This window comes from Homo sapiens, chromosome 10 (genome assembly GCF_000001405.40).
Source record: "Homo sapiens chromosome 10, GRCh38.p14 Primary Assembly".
Lineage (NCBI taxonomy): Eukaryota > Metazoa > Chordata > Mammalia > Primates > Hominidae > Homo > Homo sapiens.
Window position 1 is genome coordinate 50,541,001 of NC_000010.11, and position 27,921 is coordinate 50,568,921.

General features: G+C 39.6%; 1 protein-coding gene and 1 long non-coding RNA gene across 10 annotated transcripts in view; one reads left to right on the forward strand and one right to left on the reverse strand.

Annotated features, from left to right (window-relative positions):
- Positions 1-27,921, reverse strand: part of SGMS1 (sphingomyelin synthase 1) — a 319,585-nt gene that overhangs the window by 235,401 nt on the left and 56,263 nt on the right. Inside the window, exon 1 of one of the 9 annotated variants that reach the window (XM_047424977.1) lies at positions 14,317-14,406. The exons of the other annotated variants lie outside the window; for them this stretch is intronic. The gene's annotated coding sequence lies outside the window, so the exon portion shown is untranslated. Of the gene's footprint in view, positions 1-14,316; positions 14,407-27,921 lie in introns of those variants that run through there. 9 annotated transcript variants of the gene reach the window in all.
- On the forward strand, positions 20,500-26,903 carry LOC124902424 (uncharacterized). The gene is made up of 2 exons (XR_007062144.1): positions 20,500-21,004; positions 26,808-26,903. It is a non-coding gene; the product is annotated as an uncharacterized LOC124902424 (long non-coding RNA).

A 27,921-nucleotide genomic window follows, 5' to 3' on the forward strand; every position in this document is an offset into this window, starting at 1 on the left:
TACAGGGGATGACAGCATGGAAGACCAAGATTCAGCTCTGATTGAAGTGCTTCAGATACATTCAATTAGAAACTCCACAAGGCAACAGGACCAACCAGCGTTGGAGACCTTGGGAAAGGACTTTTGAAAATGTGGGGGTTTCAGGCACAGAAAAAGGTAAGATCCAAACAAAACACTAATTCTTTATCTTCTATTTTCCGATTCTAGTTAAGTTTTATAATACTTATGCTGTTATACTCATGAAGACTTAATCCAGTAGAGATGTTACCATGTAAGTCTCTGGTTTTCTAAATTATAGCACTTACTGCAACTTTTTACCTCTCAAAGCAACTTAATTCAAGCAACCATAAAACTCCTATTGAAAATGTTTCTTAAGGAGTACTGTACATTACTGCCTTGTATGGTATACCAACATAATTTCATCTTTCATTGACTATCTAATACATCATGTGACTCAACATCTGTATGAGGGGCATTAATTTTACCATCCAGGCTCTGTCTTCATGATGACTCGAGCTCTTCCCTGAAGGCCCCCTTCCTGTGTGAATGGCAAACACCTAGCTCAGCTTGCCAGGTCATCTTGCCATACTCAAAGCCCACAGAGAGTGGTTGTTAAGCTGCCCCACTTGGAGACAAGACCAGGGATGGGGCCAAGATCCTCGAAAATGGAATAAAAATGCTGGCCCCTGGCTGAGCCACCCACTCTGGGAGATGTTTGGGAAGGAAAAGGGGTTGTTTTGAGTTTAATCAAGAGAACCAGGGTGGAGCCTCCAGAAGTTACAATTAGCACCAAATTGCAGGGTTCATGCACTTTTAAAAAAAGGATTTTTATTCCTGGAGCCAAAGTTTTCTTTTCTGTTAAAATACAACCTCCTAGGAAGAAGGCACTAAAACCTCTGCCAGTTACTTCCACTTCGAGGAGCATGTTTGATTTTTTTCCTGCCAACAAGTTTTAATGGAATAGATGAGTATGCTGGTGTCTAGAAGGGGAAGAGGCTGCATGTCCCACTCTTTTGCCTAAAATCACCGTGGCAGGAACCATTATCTTTTCTTAAAATCCTCCACCAAAGCCACCACCACTAGCATCAGATTCTCATGACACACAGCTTTGAAGCTACAGCAACCAAATTAGACCTTCTCATGGGGGAAAAGAAACTGAACACAGTCACACTCTGTGACTCCCACTTTTCGTTCTTCAAAGACTTCTACGGCATAAAATACATGGAAACAAAATTTTCCAGGTTCTATGTCTCAAAAAATGGCCGGAAGCATGTTTATTATTCTCCTTAAGATTATTTTTAAAAATTCAAAAAAGATCTTACACACATATGTGTTTACAGTGATTTAAAAAAAATCACTGTTTTGAAGTGTTGCCACTCATATTATTCTTAGACATTTGTTTAAGAACAGATTATGAGATACTTGAAAGATTGAGACAAAGAAGAAACACTAAAATTTCTATGATGTCACCAACCTGGGCTTAGAGCAGAAAATATGTATATTTGCTCTTAAAAAAAAGTGGTTAAGAGAGAATTTATGAATAACATAAGTCCAAATAAAATGGTTAAAAAGCAAAAAGCAAACTACCATAAAGAAAAGTGTATAGGAAAACAGAGAAAACAGAGAAGGTATACACACACACACATGCACACACACACATATACAGAAATGCACTTATAGAGAGAGGGGAGAGAGATATATATAACCTATAAATATTATATATATTATATTATATATAACAATGATATATATTAAATATTATTCAAAAAGTCTCAATTATTGTTTAATTTTTTCATTTGTTTTTCAGCAACCATTCCTGCAGGGTTTTTTTGGTTATTGTAATGTAATGCCAAGTGCAAAAAAAAAAAAAAAAGAAAGAAAAAGGAAGTCTTCTCAGTTTGTTTTGTTTTTAAAACACAAGTTACCTGCTTCTCAGACCAACAGGATGCCATCACTGTTTAGACTTGGACCTGCTTCCTTCAAACACACACAGTGTCTATATGATAGCTCTTGGGACAATTTTAACAAGGGACATTAGGCATCCACATCTGATCTTCCACAATCCAGACAGTACAGGGAAATAAAGTTAGCACCCAAACTGTCTTGGAGACCAAGTGTTGACTTTGTGCAGAGCAATGAACATGTCAAGGCAAACTTAGAATTTCCATTACAATATGCTCAGCTGGAAAAAAAAATGAGTATGTGGCAAGGCTGGCAACTTGACTTACAAATGACTATAAAATATGTGGCTGCTTTTCTAATCACTTGGAATTATGGAAAGGAAAGAGGACAGCAGAGACATAAGGCAGGGCACTTTAACACATCCACACAGGAGGCCCAAGAGCTGGCCCTCAATCAAGTTATTTCAAAAAGCCAAGGTGAGTAGATATACACATTACATAGTTAACATTACATATATCAAGTTGTAAAAAATTAGTAATCATTAGAACAAGAGCGTAGGCTAAGAAACAAATATGTGGTAGAGGTAAAAAAATCATACTGATTGTCAGGAAAAGAAGTTTCTGTAGGAACTGGGGCCTGCAGGCCAAGGGAACCCTGAAACAAAGTGTGGCTGATGTTCCACTTATAGAGGAGACAGGAGGAATAATGGGGTTTTGAGGTCAAAATAATCAGATTGGGAGCAGTTGCTTCTGCAGGAAGTAGACAGGAACTTCCTTACGAATCCCAAAAGCCAAAGACCCAAACTAATAATCTTCTTGTTAAAACTAAAAACTCAGCTTAATTTGGCCCAATGACCATTCTTGTGAATAAACTTTCTAGGTAAGTTTTTAAACCAAAAGATTTTTTTTTACTTGGTTCCAAATGTCTTCTATGTTTAGAAAAATTTTTTAAAGAAAAGAAAAAATTCAAAGCCACATTCACTCAGGGGACAGAAAATTGGTCACTACAGGAGCCATACGAAGAACGTAGTGCTACAGCCCCAGAAGGCATTCCTCCAAGAGCCATCCCCAAAATGTCCGGCATGGGCAGCACTACCAAAATCAAAGCTTATTTTCCAAGTCAGAACATTCTGAGGAAGAAAAACTCCCTTGGATGTGTAGGTTCTGATACATTTATTTCTTAAACATTTATTTCTCACACATGCTGACATAGCTTATAGGAAGGTAATGACAACAATAAAAACCATATCAGGTGACAGCTACTGAATGCCAGGAACTGTCTGAAGTGCTTCATGAATTAACTCACTTAATCCTCCCAGCAACTCTGAGGTAGTTATGTCCCCATTTCACAGATGAGGAAACTGAAGCCCAGAAAGGTAAAGTAAGGTGACTAAGTCACACAGGGAGACACGGAGGATATGAACCTCTTACAGACACCATGACAAATACAGGAATCCAGAGCTCTAAACAAGGCATTCCTGCATGTATATATTTAATGCTACATTAACCAGGACATTATCTTGCTTCGGTGAAGGCAAACAAGTTTAAGAGCCTTCTTTACTTCATTTGCATATGCCTCTCTCTCACTCAGATTTTCAGCTGCAACTGAGAGTTTTTTTGATCACATTCTACTTTTTCCTTAATAAATTAAAATCAAAAGCTTTTATTGAAAAGGTAAGACAATGTATCAGATCTGACTAACTGCAAATTCCAGAAGAAGTAAAACTGAAGTAGGTTCTTTGTACAATAAACTAAAATGCAACCTTGCAGTTTTACAGGGTGAAATATTTTGAAGATATGAGATAAACAAGGAAAAACAGAAAGTACAGTATAAACAGGAGCCAGGTGGATGCTAGGAAGTTCCTGAAGCACACAGCATTGGTCTCAGAAACTCGGTCCCAACATGCCATGAAGCCCAGAGGTGGGACATGCTACAACTACCCCTTTTCATTTGCCCCAAGAAGAAACGTGTGCCGCGTATTTCCATTTATGTGTTCCAACTATTGATACTACCTCCATCTTTATTTGTGGTTGGTAAATAATTTGGTTAAATTATTCATAGCTTCTTTATGAAGGAGCACAAGGGAAGTGAAATGAACACAGCATTGGTGGCCACTGTTGCTCTGAGGTGAAAATGGTAGCACGTGTACAATAAAAGCAAGAAATGAGGACACAGTAGCTTTGAGGATGACAAGGCAGCTATTTCCCGGAAGCACACAGAGAACATCAGTAACCTACTTCAAAGGGGGAAGCTTTATAATATGAATGGGAATGGCAGGGCCCCTCTGCCCCAGTGCCTTAAGGTTCCTAGTGTCACAGAAGCATAGAACAAGTGACCATCCTTTAAAAATGTCTTCTCCTTTCAGGTTTCTAGAGGCAGTGAATTTAAAAAGAAGTATTTGTGTGTCCCCTGTGCTGGGTGAGGTGTCAGAGCCAAGGCATTGGAAAGTAGTCGACTCATGGGTTGGTAAGAAGAAGTTCCCAACAACAGTACAGGTCTGAAAAGGAAAGGGTTTTGTTGTTGTTGCTGTTTGTTTTGTTTTGTTTGTTTTTGAGACAGAGTCTCGCTCTGTCACCCAGGCTAGAGTGCAGTGGTGTGATCTCGGCTCACTGCAACCTCCACCCCTGGGTTCAAGCGATTCTCCTGCCTCAGCCTCCTGAGTAGCTGGGATTACAGGAACCCACCACCTCGCCTGGCTAATTTTTGTAGTTTTTTAGTCGAGACAGGGTTTCACCATGTTGGCCAGGTTGGTCTCAAACTCCTGACCTCAGGTGATCTGCCCACCTTAGCCTCCAAAATGCTGGGATTACAGACGTGAGCCATGATGCCCAGCCAGGTAAGTTTTATTAGAAAGAAAGAATGCGGTAGAAGAGTACAGCAGAGTGACTCGGCAAGAGAGGACTGTTCATGGTGGATTTTTCTCTTGGGGTATTTATGGAGCTTAAAGCAGAGCTTAAGGGTAATTTAGACCATATCAGCCTCATAGGTCATAATAAATGATTATATTCATAGACATTCTGTGCAAAGGTTGCACAGTGAGTTTTGACATGCATGCATTCTGGAGATATACAAAAACTCTAGTTACTTATACATTTTGGGGAAAGAAGCCTGGAACCACAGGCCAGCTTTAGATAACAGGGAAGTCTAAATACTTCTAAATTCCTCAGATAAGGAGTTCTGCCTCGGATAGACTGCTTGATGGCCACCAGGTGACCTCTGCTCTCCTCACTCCTGCTTGGTGATTTGGTGATTCTGTTGGTTGGACAATGTGGGAGGAGTGCAATCTTTCTCCTGGTTCTGCTTTAGAAAGTTTTCCTGCTAAATAATAGCACCCTGTAGCAACAAACACAAGGCTCAGCCACTGCAGTAAAACCACAAGATGGAGTTTTTGAAAGAGGATTGTAACAAAAGACCCTGCTTAGGGCTCTAGAACTAGAAATACCATTTGACCCAGCCATCCCATTACTGGGTATATACCCAAAGGATTATAAATCATGCTGCTATAAAGACACATGCACATGTATGTTTATTGTGACACTATTCACAATAGCAAAGACTTGGAATCAATCCAAATGTCCAACAATGATAGACTGGATTAAGAAAATGTGGCACATATACACCATGGAATACTATGCAGCCATAACAAATGATGAGTTCATGTCCTTTGTAGGGACATGGATGAAGCTGGAAACCATCATTCTCAGCAAACTATCACAAGGACAAAAAACCAAACACCGCATGTTCTCACTCATAGGTGGAATTTGAACAATGAGAACACTTGGACACAGGAAGGGGACCATCACACACCAGGGCCTGTTGTGGGGTCGGGGGAGAGGGGAGGGATAGCATTAGGAGATATACCCAATGTAAATTATGAGTTAATGGGTGCAGCACACCAACATGGCGCATGTATACATATGTAACAAACCTTCACGTTGTGCACATGTACCCTAAAACTTAAAATATAATAATAAAAAAAAAGACCCTGCTTAGAACTTGTGGCACTTGCTTTTCCTCCCTTATACCTAAATATTTTAATCCTCATTTTACAGATTTTTAAAACTTGGAATTTCTCTTTAATCAAATGCTGTTTCCATCCCAAAATAGGTATTACTGTTCAGAAATGAGCCTAACAGAGACTCCTGGTTTACAGGAACATGCCCATGGCCTGACAAAGGAGTATACTCTATATCACTAAATTAATTTGCTTAAAGAAGACAGATGTCTAGAGGAGGCACAGAAGAGTTGTTTCTATTGAACCAAACGTACAAATCACAACATTTGAGGAATTAAATAACAAAAAAGGACTCCACTCCAGAATCAGTGGTTTTGTGTCCAAAATAATTTCAAGAGTAAAGGGATTATTTTAAAAATTCAGACCATATAGACCACTAGCTAGCATAAAAAAGAAGATAAAAGAGAGTAAAAGCAAATAAACACAATCAGATAAGGGGGATATCACCACTGACCCCACAAAAATACAAACAACCATCGGGGAATACTAAAAACCACCTCTGTGCATATAAACTAGAAAATCTAGAATAAATGGATAAATTCCTAGATACATATACTCTCCCAAAACTTAACCAGGAAGAAATTGAATCCCTGAATAGACCAATAATGAGTTCTGAAATTGAGGCAGTAATAAATAGCCTAGCAACCAAAAAAAGCCCAGTACCATATAGATTCACAGCTGAATTCTACCAGATATACAAAGAAGAGCTGGTACTATTTCTACTGAAACTATTCCAAAAACTGAAAAGGAGGGACGCCTCCCTAACTCATTCTATGAGGTCAACATCATCCTGATACCAACACCTGGCAGAGATACAACAAAAAAAGAAACCTTCAGGCCAAAATCCTTGATGAACATTGATGCAAAAATCCTCAAGAAAATACCGGCAAACCAAATCCAGCAACACATCAAAAAGCTTATCCATGATAATCAAGTCAGTTTCATTCCTGGGATGCAAGTTTGGTTCAACATATGCAAATCAATAAATGCAATTCATCACATAAACAGAACTGAAGACAAAAACCACATAATTATTTCAACAGATACAGGAAAGGCCTTTGATAAAATTCAACATCTCTTCATGTTAAAAACTCTCAACAAACTAGGTACTAAAGGAACATACCTCAAAATAACATGACAAACCCACAGCCAATATCATACTGAATGGGCAAAAGCTGGAAGCATTCCTCTTGAAAAATGGCACAAGACAAGTGTATTAGTCCATTCTCACACTGCTATAAGGATATACCTGAGACTACCATTGATATTCTTCATAGAACTAGAAAAAACTATTTTAAAATTCATATGGAACCAAAAATGAGCCCAAATAGCCAAGGCAATCCTAAGCAGAAAGAACAAGGCTGGAGGCATCATGCTACCCAACTTCAAACTATACTACCAGGCTACAATAACCAAAACAGCATGGTACTGGTACAAAAACAGACACATAAACTAATAGAACAGAATACAGAACTCAGAAATAAGAGTACACATCTACAGCCATCTCATCTTTGACAAACCTGACAAAAACAAGCAATGGGGAAATGATTCCCTATTTAATAAATGGTGCTGGAATAACTGGCTAGCCATATGCAGAAAACTGAAACTGGACCCCTTCCTTACACCATATACAAAAGTTAACTCAGGATGGATTAAAAACTTAGTGTAAAACCCAAAACTATAAAATCCCTAGAAGAAAGTCTAGGCAATACCACTCAGGACATAGGCCCAGGCAAAGATTTCATGACGAAATGCCAAAAGCCATTGCAACAAAAGCAAAAACTGACACATGGATCTAATTAAACCAAAGAACTTCTACACAGCAAAAGAAACTATCATCAGAGTGAACAGACAACCTACAGAATGGGAGAAAATTTTTGCAATCTATCCAACTGACAAATGTCTAATATCCAGAGTCTACAAGGAACTTAAATTTACAAGAAAAAAAAACCATTAAAAAGTGGGTAAAGGACATGGGCAGACAATTCTCAAAAGAAGACATACATATGGCCAACTAACAGGAAAAAAAGCTTCATCACTGATCATTAGAGAAATGCAAATCAAAACCACAATGAGATACCAACTCATGCCAGTCAGAATGACTGTTACTAAAAAGTCAAAAAACAACAGATCCTGGCAAGGCTGCAGAGAAAAAGGAACGCTTATATACTGTTGGTGGGAAGGTAAATTAGTCCAACCATTGTGGAAGACAGTGTGGTGATTCCTCAAAGACCAAGAGGCAGAAATACCATTTGACCCAGCAATCCCATTACTGGGTATACACCCAAAGGAATATAAATCATTCTATTATAAAGATACATGCACACGTACATTCATTGCAGCACTATTCATAATAGTAGAGACACGAAATCAACCCAGATGCCCATCAGTGATAGACTGGATAAAGAAAATGTACATATACACCATGGAATACTACGAAGCCATAAAAAGGAATGAGATCATGCCCTTTGCAGGGACACACATGGCATTGGAAGCCATTATCCTCAGCAAACTAACACAGGAATAGAAAATGAAACACCACATGTTCTCACTTATAAGTGGGAGCTGAATGATGAGGACACATGGACACAGGAGGGGAACAACACATATTGGGGCCTGCCAGAGAGGGATGGTGGGGGAGGGAGAGCATCAGGAAGCATAGCTAATGGATGCTGGACTTAATACCTAGGTGTTGGGATGATACATGCAGCAAACCACCATGGCACACGTTTACCTATGTAACAAATCTGCACATCCTGCACATCTATCCCTGAACTTGAAGAAAAAAAGGTAAAAAAAATTCAGATCATTGCACTAATTTGGTGACTCTGCTTTTCTCTTTATAAGACATGCAGATTAAAGTGTAGTCACATGTGTTCTCCCAGGTTTATGCAAAAGAAATGAAAAATTTTAAATGCCAGGAGCCAATCAAAAACAAATAAGTATTCCCAGGATTATTAATTCCATACAACCGAGGCTCAGCCAGAATTCCTCTCTGCCATCAATTATCTCAGAAACACCACAGCTATTAAAAGCTACATAAACCACCATCTAAAAAAGATAAAGCAGAAAGTTCAACGGGAAATAATTTTGAAATTGACTGGAGACACCACATAAAAATCAAATTAAAAATGCAGACTCCATTAACTTGGATTCTGTGACTTTCCAAACTGGGTGGAGTTTAAGTCCACCTTTCAGTCTTTTCCAAGAAAAGGAGACTGCACACATTAGTAAATACAACAGGCAGAGTAGATATTTTAAGACAATCTACTTTTTTAAATTGTATACATTTGCTTGTAAGCAAACAGACTGCTTAATCACTAACTTTCTTTTCCCTAAGAAGGAATCTAATCTATGCAAAAATCCTTGGTAGCAAATAATAGGCCACTGCTTCCTGCCTCTTTTCATTACCTCACCAAGCACCCATTTCCAAATTTCCCAATGAAGCAACTGCAAGTTCTAATCCCTCTATCTAATTTGCATGAAGCTGCGGACTAGCTATCCTGAAGCACAGCTTTTATCAGCCCTACAATACACCCTTCCTGCCAAAGAGAGTTAACATGCCTTGGACTGGTTTTCAAGGCCAACACCTCTGGCTCCAGCCTTATCTTCTACTGCCCTTCCTCCCAGCCCTCTCCAGCAGCCAGACTCCTATACTATCTATCCCGGAACCTTGACTTAAAAAGGCACACTCACCAATCTGCTACCCTGGCATGCCCTGAGATTGTACTAATACACCTGCTTCTCTGACCCCTCCTCGTCAACCTCCTTTGACAACTTTTACCTCTGCTTAAACCCTTGAACTCCTTGGAAAACTGGCTGATTCTAGGTCTGGGGCAAGCAAATATTCAAGATGAGCCTGAGCATCCTGGAATGCCAGAAAATAAGGACGTACTAAAACATACACACACTGTAAGAACTCCCGAAGGCCAAAGCTGGAACAACTTGACCAACCAAATAAATAATGTAGTATTGCATTATAACCTGAAGCATAAATTAAATATCCATGAATCCATACTAAAAAATAAATCATTGATTAAATAAATGGGAGCGAATATGCAAACCTTCTGTGCAGAAGAATTCAAAGTAATTTATGTAGACATTCCAACCACAAGGAGAAGCGTAACTTCTCCCTACTCCTTTTGTGTGGGCTACATATAGTGACTTCCTTCCAAAGGGCACAGTATGGAAAGGGTGAACAAAAGTAACTTGACAGTGGAGAAACCTGCCAAACACTAGCTCAGCTTGATCAGGTGATCAAGCTCAATATCAACGTGAGCAGTCATGTTGGTACTATGTACTCTAGATATAATACGATGAAAATGGCACTTCATTTCTGTGATCTTCCTCACAAAAACCCATAACCCCAATCTAATCATTAGAAAAGCATCAGACAAATCCCAATTAAGGGACATTCTATGAAACACCTGACTGGTACTCCTCAAGACTGTCAAGGTCATGAAAAACCAGCAAGGCCTGAGAAACAGTCACCGTCTAGGGCTCAAAAGAGACATGGCAACTAGATGTAATGTGGAATACTGAATGGGATCATGGAAGAGAAAAGGGACACTAGGTAAAAACTAAGAAAATATTTAAAAATTATGACTTGAGTTAATAATAAGATATCAATATTGGATCATTAGTTATGAGGAATGTTTCATATCGATATAAGATATTAGCAGTAGGGGAAACTGGATCTGGGAATATGAGAACTCTGTACTATCTTTGCAACTTTTCTGTAAATCTAAAAGTATTCTAAAATTAAAAGCTTATTTTACAAAACTGTCTTTGGCTCCTCTCCCTCCCATACCCCATACCCAGGCTTATAGTAGATTCTATGTCCAAAATGTCTTTCTGCTGTTCCCTTCCCTCCCATTCCCTCTGCCATCCCCCTGTTCATTGTATTCTCCGATCCATCCTCCACACAGCTGCTGGAGTAAGCTTTCTGACACACAAATCTGAAGATACCACCTCCCTGATCAAAACCCTTTCATGGCTTCCCACTACTTATATCAGGGTTGGCAAACTTTTTGTGTAAAAGCTCAGATTTTTTAAGCCCTGCAAGCCTATCCCCTACTCTGCTATTATAGCACCAAAACAGTCACACGCAATATGCAAACAAATTGATGTGGCTGTGTTCCAATAAAACTTTATTTATAAAAACAGGCAGAAGGCTGGATTTGGCCCACAAGTTACAGTGTGCCAATCCTTGGTCTAGAGAATCAAGTCCAAACTCCTCAGACAGGCACGCAAGGCATAACCCACATTATCCCTGAATCATTTAATTTTGTATATTTATCTTGGTTTTATTCTGTCCAATCAATTCCAAGCATGTTTAAGATATTAAGTAACAAAAAGTCAGTTAAAACACACTCTATGCCTTCAAAAGACTAACAGGCAACAAGTAACTCAACTCATGCTTCCTAAGGCATCTTCAAGTATTTTTTGATATGTAAGTAGACATACCCTTTAAAAAGAAGTGTTTTGTAATCAACTAAGTCTGAGGAATCCTGGGTTTGACAAGGTTAAGCAGCTTTCATTGCCACAGGAATTCTCAAAGCCTTCATTGTGCATTGGGAATCTCCTTAAAGAGGGATATATTACACAATGACTCTCAAGTCTGTTTGACAACAGAATTCTTTCACATTTTTAACATCTGTGTCCTGCAAAACAGTTAGGAAATTGTTGACGTTAAGCATACTCCTACAAGGCGGACTGAAAGTTCTATTAATATTTGCCACTGTAGTAGGCTAAATAGTGCCCCGTCCCCCGCCAAAAGATATCCATGTCCTAATCCCTGGAATCTGTGAATGTTATCTTACATGGCAAAAAGGACTTTACAGGTGTGATTAGGTTAATGACCTTGAGATGGGGGGATTATCCTGGTGGGCTCTAAATGCAATCAAAGGTATCCTTCCTTGTAAGAGGGAGGTAGACAGTGACCTGACACCAAAGAGAAGAGAAGAAGGCAGTGTGAACACCAGAGCAAAGATGGGAGTAGGGCAGCCACAAATCAAGGGAGGCTGACAGGCACCATAAACTGGTAGAGGCAAAGATCAGATTCTCTCCTAGAACCTGCAGAGGGAGCACAGCCCTGCCAATGCCTTGATTAAGTCACCACATTTGTGGTCATTTGTTACAGCAGCTACAGAAATGAAAACAACCACGGTGCCAATCACAGCCATGGTGTTGTGATCTATGCCGACACTAAATATTCTTAAATGAAGTCACGTTAATGTTGTCCACAATAAGCTCACAATTAGCCTTAGTTAGCAAGGTTTTATCATCCACTTAAGGGAAAGAGTATAATTCAGTGGTTAACACTCTGGACCTGGATTTAACCCCTGGGGTTCAAATCCCAGCTTTAACATTTATTAGTTAAATATACCACCTTGGTCAAGGTGTTTAGCCTCTTTGTTACTCAGCTACTTCGTCTGTAAGATGGGATGATATTCATAGAGTTGCTCTGTGGGTTTAATGAGACCATGCACAAAAAGTACTTAGTATATTTCCTGACTTTACAGTAAATAAATGAAAACTCAATAAAAGAAAACTATTATTACATTATAGTATTACTGATTTTTAAGACAAAAAAATCTTTCACCCCAAGCTACATCTCATCATATTCTTCTATTTTCAGTTTGACAAATTATAAATCTTTACCCAATTTCTAGCTTGGGGCATTTAAAATGACCTCAGCAAGGTAAGGCAGGTGGAAAAGTTCATGCCTGCGTCTCTGAACCACTGCTTTTAGGTATCTGACTCAATAAACTATGACAGCTAATAGCTCCAAGACATGTGCTTCATGTGATGTGCTAAATTCACGTCACTCACTGAAAAGCCTAAAGTTACTCTTCTTGCATAGGTCATCTACATTAGTTAAATCAAAGTGCCAACAAAGGCCCATTTGCTAAATTATAAGCTACTGATGCTCCACTAGATAGTTTTTATCTTAATATTTAGTTATACTCAAAGCAACAGATGAAATTATTCAGATAAGACCCAATAAAGGAAAGGCACAAGGCACCTGAAAACAGAAGGGACACATAGGGTCTTGGTACAATATATGAAAGTCTTCCCAGCATGTCACCCAACTCACTCTGCACCTACAATCACCACCTAACCGTCACCTACTGCCACATCCCACAGCATCTCCAGCCTACACAGGTGACTTGGGAGTAACCATACATCATGCCTAATTAAAAATATGGGATCACCATTAGTCAAGAGGTGCTTGAGACTCAGAGCTTTGATTCCTAAAAACTTTAAGAGCCTTCTATTAAAACTGAAACATCCCTAGAAAAAGTAGTATTTTAATTCTTTATTAGTTACATACTGCAGTACTCATTGTCAGTAAATACACACAAAAACCCGTTCCGGTCTGTCAGTCAGGGAAAGACTATCCTGGAACTCACCAAAACCTCATTAAGGCCTACTAATTTCAGAAAAGCAAGCCTAAGCAAATGAAAAATTTAAACGTTAGTGATTTTTAAGAAGCACAACCTATATATTTTAACTTTAAAATATGAGTTGTAAATCCAAATGTCAATGGAGCCAGGCAGGGAAGACAGTTCCAGCTGGCAGGTATGAAAAAACAAAGGTTCCCTGCTAGTGCAAGTGGGAAGCGGCCTCTCAGCCCAAGCCAGCTGCTGCTAGAGGGAGTATGGCATGCAGGAGCAGGCTGCAGCCACCCAATGCAGGCACCGAGAAGGTTCAGGGGCTGGCCCCACCACAGCTCATCTAAAATGATTGGCTTTCTAGTTGCTATTCTTTTAAAATTATAAAAGTCATATGGGTGAATAAATTTAGTTCCAAGGGATATAAATTAAGAAGTAAAAGTCCTTCCCTTCTACTCCCCCAATTGCTAACAGATTACATCACTATGTATTCTTTTTCTAGACACACAAAATGTTCTACAAGTTGCTTTTTTCACTCAACAATATGTCGTGGACATCCTTCCACATCAGTACATTCAGATCTACTGCATTCTTTTTACCAAAAGCAGTTAGAGCACAGAATTTCAATGCTGGGAGATGCCTGAGAGGCTCTAGGCCAACTCTTTCCATTTAACAGACAGGGTTCCCAGAGGTCCTGGACACCTCTAACCATATAGGAAAGAAGCCAGAGCCTCCCCAAATGGGGTCACGCCAGCAGGTGTCACCAGCATCATGCCCTCATCTCTGCTATTCAAAGGAGCCTGAGCCTCAGCAAGAAAGAGGCCAAGGCTTCCCACGTGGCAGGTGAGAAGCAAGGGAGACAAAATTATCTTGGAACAAAGTAATGAATTGTAATCAGTGAAAAGCCTCACAAACATGAACTCTGTATTTTTTATTAGCAAATACCTAGAATCACTCTAAATTCATCCAAGTAACTCAATTAAAATATTAAAATTCACTTACCAGTCATATTCTACCTAGTTCCAAAATACATCTGGATTGGAGTCAACTCAGAATTGCATAAAGTTCACCATCTTCCTGCTTTGAGGCCTTAAAGAAACAGGGCAGGACCTGGCTCACAAATAAGCTGCTTATCTGAGCCAGCCAGAAGATTCCAATTACAGGGCTTCATGGGTACATCCAGAGCTGCAGCAGTGTAATAAGGAATGCGGTTGAGGCCTCTGCTTCAAAGATCATTCTTATACAAGGAAACATTTATTAAAAGAGGGAAGAACTGTAAACTTCCTATTTAAAATGTTAATTTTGTTAGTGACTCAAGGTACTGAGAAGCTAACTAAGTATTCAGACCTTCAGAAACTCCAGTTTAGCTCCCAAATATAGAAAAATCTCTCTATCTAAAGATATAAACTCCCTGGAGGCCAAAGCCTTCCTGCATGGCTAGCTTTTAAAACATTTTAGGAAACTTGACCTCAAACTAAAATCAGCATTTCAGCAAGGGTTACTTAGAGCCTTTGAGAAACTATATTTCATAAAAACACCAATTTCAGAAATATGTTGTTCTCTACTAATACACACAATTTGCTTTGTAAAAGAAATGCTTAGTCTTTTTCCAGTATTCTTTATCTTAGCTCAACGGAAAGACCATCTAATTGCCAGGCTAAAAACAGGGAATATTCCAGAATGCTCTCATTTTCCCCTCTCCTCCATTCCCAAAGGAGATGCATCACCACCACACCTACCCACCCTGTCTCTTGACTGTTTCACTTCTCCAACCCTTTGGTTTGGATTCTTACCAAATCCCAGGGGGTCCATGACAACAGCCTCCTAATACAACTCTCGGTCACCAATCTTACCTGTCTCCTAGCTGTTCCATACAAAACTGTAAGAGTAACCTCATTCATTCATTTAACAAATAACTACAGAGCCTCTACTATGCAACAGGCAGTGTTGCAGCACTGAAGATAAAGCAGTATACACAACCACTGCCCTCAGGACCACCCCACAGTAGTGTCAGACAAGTGCTAAGTGCCATGGAGGAAACAGAAAGCAGGCAGAGGGCCAGAGAGTGCTTGGGGGCTGGGTTATTTTGTCTAGAGTGGTCACCAAAGGCCTCATTCCAAAGGGGACATGTGAGCATGTCCTAGAGGAAGGGGAGTGAGCAAACATGTCAGGGGAAGCACATTCCAGGGAAAGCGGAAACAGGTGTACCACAGGAACATGTGCCAGGTGTATCTCAGGAGAGCAAGGAGGCCAGAGTGAATGGAGCACAATGAGCCAAGGGAACAATCATCAGAGGTAAGATCAGAGAGACCCCGTAGGCCCGCACAGACGCAGCAACAACTGAGAAGTTTGTCTGGAGTGAAATGAGAACAGTGTTTCTGTGTAGTAACTCCTTTCCAGAATTTAGTTGGAAATTTATAGGTTTTGCAGAATCCCTAGAAAAATCAGATGAGAAACAGCAAAAACAGTATTATAATTTTCTTGCTTGCTTAGCAATCAACATCAAGTCCACTGACAAGTCCAAAGCAAGCACAGGAAATGCCGTCCTGCAGAGGTAAAGGTTAAGGCCAACATTTCCGAGAACTGAGACAGGAGTGTGCAGAAGAGAAGAGCCCCAATCCAATCACTCAGTCTTCCTTGTAGCTGTTCCCATGTTCTAAGCGTGAGTTCGATGTCCTGTCTGCCGCCAAGGGTGAGTCAATATTGCAAATAAAATTAATATTAATAAGCTTCACATAGTAGGCTTTATACAAATACTGATTATATGCAGTGCTGTTAATCTTTCTAGAAGATCCAAATGTTAACACGATCAGATAATGCTCATAGGCATTTTCCAGTGCTTGAATATTCACTAGGGTACAGTTCTTTGTAAACAGTACATGTAAATACTATTGAACTTAGTATCACTTATTTATTAAATAATTTTTTAGATATTCACAATAATGAATAAAGAGCAAGAAGAATGTTGGAAGTATTTTAAAAAGATAAAGTAACTCAATTAGCTTTTTGCTAGCTATGTTTTAATCACAGAAGTATGAAGCATCATTATTAGTCATTTGGAAAAAGAATTCTTGAGTGATATGCTTTTAAAAGAAATTAGTAATAAATTGCTTACACATAGGAATAAAGATCTAGTACTGCCCACTAAATATTTAAGCAATATTAGTTGTTTATCTGAGGTGAAAAAAGAATAACTGTTTTGCTTTGGCAAACAAAAATAGCTCAATTACTAAAATTTTTAACGAAAAGACTTTTAAAAGGAAAATATGCTTTAGCAGAAGAAATGCAAAAAAAAAAAGGTAAATGTTGTAGAAATTAGAACCTGATATAAAATCTGAACTAGCAAAAATAAACACACAAACTCTAACAGCAAAAAAAAAAAAAAAAATGGCAGCCAAAAAAATTTGTATTGTTAGGTTTATATGAGCTTAGGAAACCTTAATCTTTTATAACAAGCAATCAGCATACCTGCCTTTTGCTGCATAGGAGACTCTACCCACTACTTCTAACTTCCAAGGCTACTATACAAACAAGAGAAACACATGGGGAATTATTTCCCAACTGTAGATGGACTGACAGGGAAATAAAGATAGGAGGAGAAGGAAAAACTCAGTAGGTTTTGAGTTTACAAAGGTAACTTACATAGACACCGTAAGTACCAAACTCTACTTCAGCCAATTAACTTATTTATATAATCCTCACAGCTGCCTTAAGAGACAGTTATTATAATTACCTTCTCTCACCTTGAAATTAAGAAACTGAGTCCCAGGGAAGTTAAGCTAATTGTCACACTGCAACTAAGTGGCAGAGCCAAAAGCAAACCAGATCCTGGCTGCAGCTGTATGCTAGTAACCAACACACCCTCCTGCCTCTGTGCTTCTTCAACTGAACCCTAGGACTTCTGAGTATGATGAGCAATTATGTGTTAATGGGTCAACGAACTCTCATTAACCTGATCATTGTTCTTATTACTATTTATTTGCAGATTTTTTAAATTATAAGGGTATTTCATTTGAAGGCACCATATGACCTTTCACTCCCATGTACTGAATCTAATTCCCAGACTGGAAGCTTCCCCATTTCTGCCATAAAAAGTGAACAGGTTACTCCTGGCTGCTTAAATTTCATGCCTGAAATATCCCGGATAAGCTGCTTGGAACGAGCCAAACATTACAATGAAAATGGGATCTGGCATCCTTTCCTGATTAATGGCAGGGCTGGATTCTGTCAGTGTTCAACGACATGAAATTCCAAGGCCTGGAACCAAATGTCCATGCTTTCCAGTAAGTACAGTTGACCCTTGCACAACACGAATTTGAACTACGTGGTCCACTTATACACAGATTTTCTTCTGCCTCTGCCAACCCTGAGACAGCAAACTTTCCTCCTCCTCCTCCTCAGCCTACTCAACATGAAGACAATGAGGATGGAGAACTTTATGATGATCCACTTCCACCTAATGAACAGTAAATATATTTTCTTTCATGATTTTCTTAATAACATTTTCCTTTCTCTAGCTTACCTACTGTAAGAATACAATATGTAATATGGATAATATACAAAATATGTCTTAATCAACTGTTTACATTTTCCGTAAGGTTTCCGGTCAAGAGTAGGCTATAAGTAGTTATGTTTTGGGGGAGTCAAAAGTTATACACAGATGTTTGACTGTGAGGGGTGGGGGTGCCTCTAACGCCTATGTTGTTCAACTTTATATAAGTCTCAAAGCTGCTGCAGACTGGCCCAGAGAAATCCATCCAGATAACACCTGGCAAAGGGAATGCTGATCTAAAACAGGTTATGATGCTAAGGGGAACTGGTAAACATGTCACGGGGTGCACATCACATATCAAAGGCCTGTTACTAAAACTACAAGAGTTACACAAGCCCCCCAAAATGTAATTTTACTTGCTATAATCTTTTACTTCAACTACTTTTGTTTCTTTAAGCAACATCAGTATCCAAACCACCAACCATACAACCACACAGCCCACCCTGACCCAGCTGCCAGAGGCGTACCCTACACTGTCATTCCAAATCACTTTTGATCACTTATCTTCCACATGTTTTCCATATCTGTAATCCTGTCCACAAAAGCAACCATATACAATAGATACTCATGCTGCTTTGGAAATGAAGAAGAGAAAGAATTAAATATAGCTCTCTTGGCCAATTCTCTGGACACAGAAGATCTATCAAACATACACTAGAATTAAACCCATTATTGATAAGGAAATTAAACTTTAAAGAAGTAACTTCTCCAGGGTCACGCAGATCTAAGTACAAACTGTTACCCTATCATCAGGGAGGTTTTAGAGGGTTTTCTCAACAGGGCCACCCTGCCCTTAGGGCACAGGAAATATCTTCCCAGTGGGAGGAATAAAGAAGAATCTCACATAGCAAACTCTGGGTAAACACTCATGGCTTGAAGTGGGTGGCTAACAGGCACATGGGACAAAAATATACATCATTGATGTCCCACTATTAGGAGTTTTTAAAAACAAAATCCATTCCCTTCTAGGTAAAATTATAAGTAATTCCAATTCAACTATGTAAACAGGAGGAAACATCTAACACCTCTTCTTTATACACAGGAAAAGAAAGTTTGTTAAAATAGAAGAAAGGAAATAAAGCAAGTATAAGTAGCTCAGAGAGAATGTGGTTTTGTAGTAGGAACTTTCACTATTTTTCCTTCGATTTGTTGCATACACGTGTATACACACAGATTTATATATATAAAATATAAATAATATAATATATAGACATATATTACCTTAGGTAATATAGATTATATAATATATTACATTATAACACATATGTAATATGTATTATATATAAAATAGACATATATTATACATTACATATATCAGAATATATGTGTATATATTATATATCGCATATATATTACATAATATATAACATAATATTATGTAATATACATAATATCTAATGTATGTAATATACAGTATATGTATTATAATATATGCATATATTACATATTATTAATATTATATATTATTAATATTATTAATAATATATATTATAATACATATTATATATTATATGCATATAATATATGCATATATTATAATACATATATTACATAATATGTGTATTGTACTTATGTATATAATATATACATAAAACATATAATACATATATGTAATACATATTACATAATACATAAATACATATTACATATTATATAACACATATAATACATAATATTTATGTGTAATATATTATATGACATATATACATAATACAAATATACATAATATATGGCATATAATACACAATATATGTAATATAGTATATATTAATATATAATATGTAATATAGTATATGTTACACATATTACATAATATATGTTACATATATACATCTGTGTATATACGTGTAGGAAAAATTTATTTTTCCTTCATTACATAATATATACATAAACATCATAGTATACATATAGTTTTGTTTTTTCTTGCTGACTCTAGCCATACAATTGCCAGGTGTTAATGCCAGACACTGAGCAAAGTGAGGAAAGAACATTTGCATCCAGTGCCTTTATACCGTTTTCCTAACAGTTTTTAAAGGCTGCATTACTCGGCAAGGGACAGAAAAGTCCTGCTGTGTGTCTTAATCTCTTTATGTTATATTCACATCTTGTTATTTGAGAATTATCTCTGAGCACTGAGACTAAGCAGAGCCTCATAAATATTAGTGCTTATATTGGCAGATATAAACTTTGGAACCCATAGTTTAAGAACTAGTTAACTGGTACAATTGACAGAAACATAATAAGACTATGAGTTAAAAGGCCTAGTTTCTAAACCTTGGAGTTGTGATACGACCTCAGGAAAAATCAACATTTCTCTGGGTCTTTTGTCACTTGCTAAATGGCATGTGAATGTTTACCGTGTTTTGGGCACCAGTCCCAGCATTTTGCATACATCAACTCATTACAATACCAAAACAGTACAATGAAGTAGGTATCACCACCCTCATTTGACAACTGCGGAAACTGAGGCACTGAGTAATACAGCTAGTATCAACTGGCAGAGCATGAATGTAACACAGTCCATCTGGGTCCAGAGCTCAGTCTCTTAATTAACCACGAGCACTGCTGGGTTAGAGGATTTCTGGGATTCCTTCCAGCTCAAACCTTCTATGATTCTGAAATGCTAAGAATGAGCTGTGCTTAGTTCGTCACATTGATGCCAATTTCTTGAAGTTGCTCAATGACCTTCGCAAGTAACAAATCCTTAATCTTTATAAATACTGAAAGATTTAAAGCAGCTACCACAGACACCGATTACAGACACTCACTTTAATGAAAGGTCAACTTAAAATGAACTAGAAATCCATGTGGTGCTTGCAATGCTTCTTGTTTATCCAATTCTCAATTGATGTAGGAGAACTAAGTTAACTGAACTGAAAGGTGGAAGGAAGCAAGACAGAGAAATATTTTGCTTTTGGAATAACTGAGACTGGAAATTAACCACAGCCAGCTTCAAGGCTCACCAGCTGATCTCTACTCACTAATATTTCAAGTGGACCTCTCCCCACAGAGGACCCCAAAAGTACACCCACTACCCCACTCCCAGACAAGGCAAGGAAGGAAGGAGGGGTTGCAATGACATCTCCGAGCCACCAGAGAGCATATCTTCATCTGGGTTCAGAACATTTTACAAAACAGGTGAGTTGAAATTTGAGACTCTTCCAGGAGAGTATGAAAAAATCCACCCTAGTTCATGTGTATTTCTTTTTCTCAAATCAGCAAATATGTCTCAGGCCTACGCTTTCTTTTCTTTCTTCTTTAAAAGTCCCAGTTTCTCCACAGTCCAACTCAACCTTCACCAAAATGAATGAATGAAACTACCACTCTAGATCAGAGATTCTAGGATTCAACTATGCACAAAAATGGTTATGTGATTAAAATGCAGATTCCTGGCCTCCACACCTATAGATTATGGTTTGGTGTATCTGCTACAGGACTCAGGAATTTACATTTCTGACAAACACTCTCTGAGTGTGTGTGTGTGTGTGTGCGCGCGCGCACACACACACACTCACACACGGGCGCGCATGCGCACTCTTACACGCACCCACTACCACAATCACCTTCCCCCCACCACCTCTCTGACACAGGTGGTTGGTAGACCATGTTTGAAAAACACTATTGCAGATGCTGTAAGAGGAAAGTTACATCTCTTTTAAATCACAGGCTAAATATTGTCTCCACACTCTTTTTTTGAGACGGAGTCTCGCTCTGTCGCCCAGGCTGGAGTGCAGTGGCGCGATCTCGTCTCACTGCAAGCTCCGCCTCCCGGGTTCACACCATTCTCCTGCCTCAGCCTCCCGAGTAGCTGGGACTACAGGCGCCCGCCCCTATGCCCGGCTAATTTTTTTGTATTTTTACTAGAGACGGGGTTTCACCATGTTATCCAGGATGGTCTTGATCTCCTGACCTCGTGATCCGCCCGCCTTGGCCTCCCAAAGTGCTGGGTTTACAAGCGTGAGCCACCGCGCCCGGCCGTCTCCATACTCTTTAGGAACTAGAGGGTTTGCTCCGTGTCCCTTTTTCTTGTGCATCTGCCTGTGATTCCAGGTGCACTCTCTGCAAAACAGACTTCCCTGCTCGATCTGGTCACTGTTTTGGTCCTTACTAGGTAAGCTCTGTCTAGCTCTTCCTGTAAAAAGAAAACCTCTGCATTAAAGTTCCCGACAGCTTCATGAACTCATTCCCAGAATCAAACATGAGCCTAGAGAGCATGAGAGCAGTAATTTCATTAACGAACTAGTAAGTAGCTCACCAGATGCTGGCTTCCTGTTAGGCACTCTGCAGCATCTAGTGCCTGTGGCAGTACAAGATGGACCTCTGAGTCCTCGTGGTCGGCCCCGGGCACTGCTTTCAAACCCATCATTCTATAGACAGGTGGGAAGGACGACCTACCATACTCCAAGACCATGCCTACAGGGCGGGCAGTCTGTACACACAGGGCAAACGGTCTTGTAGCTACTGAAATAACACAATGCTGATGTATTGCTAATTCAATTACAGGAATGTATTATACCATTGTTAAAATGAACTTCTATAAAACACAATGATACTAAAAACCACGTTAAATCCTCTTACATAAGAAACTCTTTTGAGGCCGGGCGCGGTGGCTCACGCCTGTAATCCCAGCACTTTGGGAGGCCGAGGCGGGCGGATCACGAGGTCAGGAGATCGAGACCATCCCGGCTAAAACGGTGAAACCCCGTCTCTACTAAAAATACAAAAAATTAGCCGGGCGTAGTGGCGGGCGCCTGTAGTCCCAGCTACTTGGGAGGCTGAGGCAGGAGAATGGCGTGAACCCGGGAGGCGGAGCTTGCAGTGAGCCGAGATCCCGCCACTGCACTCCAGCCTGGGCGACAGAGCGAGACTCCGTCTCAAAAAAAAAAAAAAAAAAAAAAAAGAAACTCTTTTGATGGAACCCATCCTATGCAATCAGTCCCATAGTGACTGGGGTTTAAATTACAGGAATCCACAGGCCCAGGGTTTCTGATTACACTTGCGTGTGCTATGGAATGAAGGTACTGACAACCTACCTCCAAGTGCCAGGAGCAGCCTGGATGATGGCTCCCAGGGCTCCCAGGCCAGTCCTTACACCAGATCCTGCAAGCAGGCGCCGCCTAGAGCCTGTGAGAAACCAGGCCTCAGGCCAAACGCCATAGCCTCCCCTCTAACCTGATGTTAAAATGCAGAACACAACACCCTTGCACCTAAACACATTCCTGTGACAGCCACATTAGCACAGACTTTAACCATGACAACCCGAGAGACCATGTGTCAGCACACTGGCTTTCCTGAATCCACAGGTAGAAAGGATTTGGCACAGTGTGAGACAGAAAACACATGCTGCAAGGAAGTGACTAAAGGTCAGGATTGTGCTTACCTTTGAGGGAAAGGGGGTCATGACTGGGAATGGGCAGAGCGGGCTTCTAGAGGGCTAGCAAATGTCTGTTTCCTGACCCGGGTGGTGGCAACTTGTCTTCACTTTGTGATCATAAATTTGTTTTATATTCTTTAAACTGCGCGACATTGTTTAAAGGCACCTGCAATATGACATTACTGCTAAACCAATACTCTAGTTTTTCCTCTTGGGATCACACATCTCTAATGACCATGGGGCCAGTAAGACCACAAGCACGTGAGATGATCAGAACTCAGCAATGTTCCCACAGGTGGGCATACACCCCGTAGCAAAGTCATTTGTTTATAAAGCTCTCAAAGCTATGCAACTCAAATGTAGTGGTAGTTAATGTGGCACTTTATGAGCAAGAAAGAACATTCAAAAAATGAGAATTACCCACAGTTAATGGATTACAATAAAATAATGTTCTACTCATTGTCAAAATGCCATAGGGCAGCAGAAAATGAGACAATGGCAGATAATCAGATTATTTTTTTTATTTTTATTTTTATTTATTTATTTTTTAAGTTTTTTTTTCTTTTATTATTATACTTTAAGTTTTAGGGTACATGTGCACATTGTGCAGGTTAGTTACATATGTATACATCAGATTATTTAAAAGGGCTACGTTCACACTGGATGAACTTGCCCTAGTGCCCTCTCTGGTCTTCATGTCTCTCCACCATTCTCAGCTGGCTGCAGGTTTTGCCCCTTTCCTGGCACCCACTTTCTCCAGCCCCATATTGTAAGTCATTTGAGGGTTGGGGGAAGGGTTAGCAGAAGTAACTTTCTTCTTTTCCTCAATGGACTTCAAACTTTTTTTATCCTCCAAACGCTTTCCTTTGTCAGTTTTTTATTAAACAAGCAAGATATTTACATATCATTGCCTACCTTTCTTTCTCTCTAGAGTGAGTTTTGAAGGCACACAAATTGTCTTACTTAACTCAGTATCCCTGGGCTTAGTACACAGTGTCTTATACCTAGCAGACACACAATAGGTCTTCAGAGAATGCACTAAAAAAATAAAAAATATATATTTTTATACAAAATCACATGTGTCATCTATACTGCCACTGAAGAACTTCCTGCTGCTGTAAAAAAGATGACAATGTAATCTACATCAGGGCAGTACTGACTTCTACTGTATCTGCTTGGAACAGAAAGTAAGCAGCACCCTTTGGGGTGGAGATTGGGAAAGCATTTGTCAATGCCACCATTTATGTTACACAAAAGATACGTCTGGAAAGAAGTGGTTAAGGGCATGGGTTTGGAAGTCAAGCACAATGAGTTAAAATCTCAACTCTACCGAAAGTGTCCTGGATAAGCAACATATACGCTCTGAACCCTTCATTTCTGCCACAAGCTGCCAATTCCTAGGAATGACATAGCGTCTGACTCCTTTGCCTCAAGTTGGCGTCAGATGCCTCCATCTTCTTCCTCTAGGAAGTCAACATAATAGTGTCCAGGGTCTGAGTTGCCTACGTTGGGGGTGAGTACTAGTGGAGGTTAGGGGGCAACCTCATCAGGGATGCTGAGAAGGCCATCACTTCCTCCATCCCCGGCACCCAGTGTGTGCCCGTGACGATCAGGTGCTCCCACTCAGGACCTGGAAGCTGGAGCAAGCAACATAAGGAGACAGAGACAGAGGAGAATATGGAGATAACCACACTTACAGTGTCTGAACAGTGTCATCAGGGTGTCCTCACAAGGTGACACCAGCACAATGGTAGCTCACTGTTCCTATGGTATGGTTTTTGTTGTGGTTCTGGCAACCCAGTATTCCTTTGATAACTGCTGGATATTCTTTCAATAACTGCTTTTTCTGCTTAAGTTCTCATTTGCAACCAAGAATACATGGATGGGGTGGGAAAGTTTTGACAACCTTTGGCTTTCATAAGTGCAGGAGATGACAAAAATAAAACATCAAAAGAAGTGAAGCCAGAGAAGTGGTAACTTAGAAAACAAAACTGAGCAAAGATTTATACTGCAAAAGTAAAATTCAATGAGTCTGCCCCACTCTTTTTTTTTTAACCTTTAACCTTTGTGTTTGTTAAAGTATGAGGTATGTTTGCTGACAAACCTCCTTTGTTTGTGAAAACAGATGCTTTCTCTATTTGCCTGACACAGCAGAGGACACTAAAACCAGAAAACATATTGATTTTTACTTTACTCTGTTGACAGCTTCTTCTGTTTTTAAATTTCTCTCTGATTCTTGTATACTGGAAGGCTATGGGTTATTAAACCCCCTCACATTCAGTTCGGTTTAACAAATCTTTATTAAAGGACTACTTTATGCAAACACTATGGTATGCACTTATAGCCAAACTCATCACAAATGGAGATATTTCAACTCAAATTCAACTAGAAATTCTGTAATTAATGCTGGAAAATTTTTATTTTAAATAGAAAACAGCAACCATTTTGTGAGCATTCTGAGTTATACACAGTACGGTGGTCCCTCAGTATCCACAGGGGATTGGTTTCAGGACCCCTGGCAGACACAAAATCTACAAAGCTTAAGTCTCTGATGTAAAACGGTGAAGCATTTGCATATAACCTATGTGCATCCTCTTAAATATTTTCAGTCCTCTCTAGATTACTTATCAATCCTAACACAACGAAAATGCTTTGTAAATAGTTGTTATACTGGTTTTTGTTTTGTTTTGTTTTGTTGTTGTTGTTGTCGTTGTTGTTGTTTTTGAGACAGAGTCTCACTCTGTTGCCTGGGCTGGAGGGCAGTGGCGCGATCTTGGCTCACTGCAATCTCCACCTCCAGGGTTCAAGCAATTCTCCTGCCTCAGCCTCCCAAGTAGCTGGGATTACAGGCACCCGCCACTACGCTCAGCTAATTTTTGTATTTTTACTAGAGACGGGGTTTCACCATGTTGGCCAGGCTGGTCTCGAACTCCTGACCTCGTGATTCACCTGCCTTGGCCTCCCAAAGTGCTGGGATTACAGATGTGAGCCATCGCACCCGGCCTATACTGTATTTTTTATTGTGGTATTGCTATCTTTATTGGGGATTTTTCCCCTGAATATTTTCAACCCATAGCTGGTTGAATCCTCAGATGTGGAACCACAGATATGAAGGGCTGACCGTATATTCTAGTGGTGTAAAACCAAGAAGTTCCTGGTGACCCATGAGCCAAATGCAACCCACAGACAGGTTTGGTTAACACACATGATGTTGGTGCTTTTTAAGATTTTTAATCAGTGACTTTAAAATCTGGATTTCCATGAAAATTGGAAGATCACCTCCCCACCCCCACTTGGGCTGCCACCTGGCAACGAGGAACAGGCTCCAAGCAGCAGCTGCTCCTATTATACGGGGCAGGCGGCTCTCCAGTGTGTCTGAGTGCCCAACCTCCACTGTTATCTAACATCTGACCCACTTTGCCAATTTATGTTACCTGCATGGTCCTGAGAGGCCTTAGAGTTTGGGATTCTTGTTTTAGACACATCACAAAGTGAGCTTAACAAAATAAACATAGACACTCACATGCACACACTTATTTCAAATGCTTCAATTTTCTTTTTCCACAGGGGGAAAAGGGGGGAAAAGATATCCCTTCCTGCTTCAATCAAACAATCCTTGGATTTCAGACTTTCCAGAAATATTAAATTTCTAAACCACTGTATTTCTTATTTCATCACTGTATTTTTCATTTAAACGTTTTTAGAAAATGACAAAATATTGTTTTGCCTCTCCATTTTATTCACTTGCCACCTTTAAGGTTTGGGGGAGGGGGTTGGGGACATTTGTCTAGTTCTCTAGAAAAAAAGCAGGTGGGATAAGAATTTCACAATTTTCTAAACACTTTTGCTTTGACCATCACATACCTAAAATATATCAAACATCCGAATCTTATAAACAAAAAGCATCTAGTACCATAAGAGCAATATTTTTAAACAGGTGCATGTATACATTTTTATTTCTTCCAAACGTTTTCTTCCTCCCAGTAAAAGAAGGAAGATAAATTTTCCCACTTTTTATTCTTACATAGCATCAAACAGAGCTTGAAAATAGCCACCAAAAAAAGCTTGGTAAATGCATGAATGCTTGGATGAAGGAAGAATGGAATGAAGGAATGAACACTTGAAAGAACAAAACAACATTATTTTTGAGCCAAAGGGAGCCACCAGCGTCCCTTGCTGTCTACCCTCCAGTTGCCTAAATTCCCTTCCTTCACTATGTCTAAGCCCATCCCTTCAGAATTCCCATCATTCCCATCCAATTCATCAGTTTTAGGTTCACCTTCCTAAACTGCCTTACTCTACTCAAAGCAAAGACTGAAGGCGGTGCTGTGGCTTGTGCCTATAGTTCCAGCTACTCAGGAGGCTGAGGCAGGAGGATCACTTGAGTCCAGGGTTCCAGAAGAGCCTGGGAAACACAGTGAGACCCCATATCAAAAAAAAGTAAAGTTTGTTTTGTTAAAAGATAGTACACACAAATTATTTTTACAACACTGTAAACACTTTTCCCCTATATTAATGAAGGTAAGCAACCTACAGTACACCAACGTGTCATTTCTTTGTTGAAAAGAAGCAAGGAATGTAAGTGCTGTGAGGGCGCTTACAGACATAGTAAAGAGTGTGCAGCCCTGTTCACAATAGTAAAGACTTGGAACCAACCCAAACGCCTGTCAATGACAGGCTG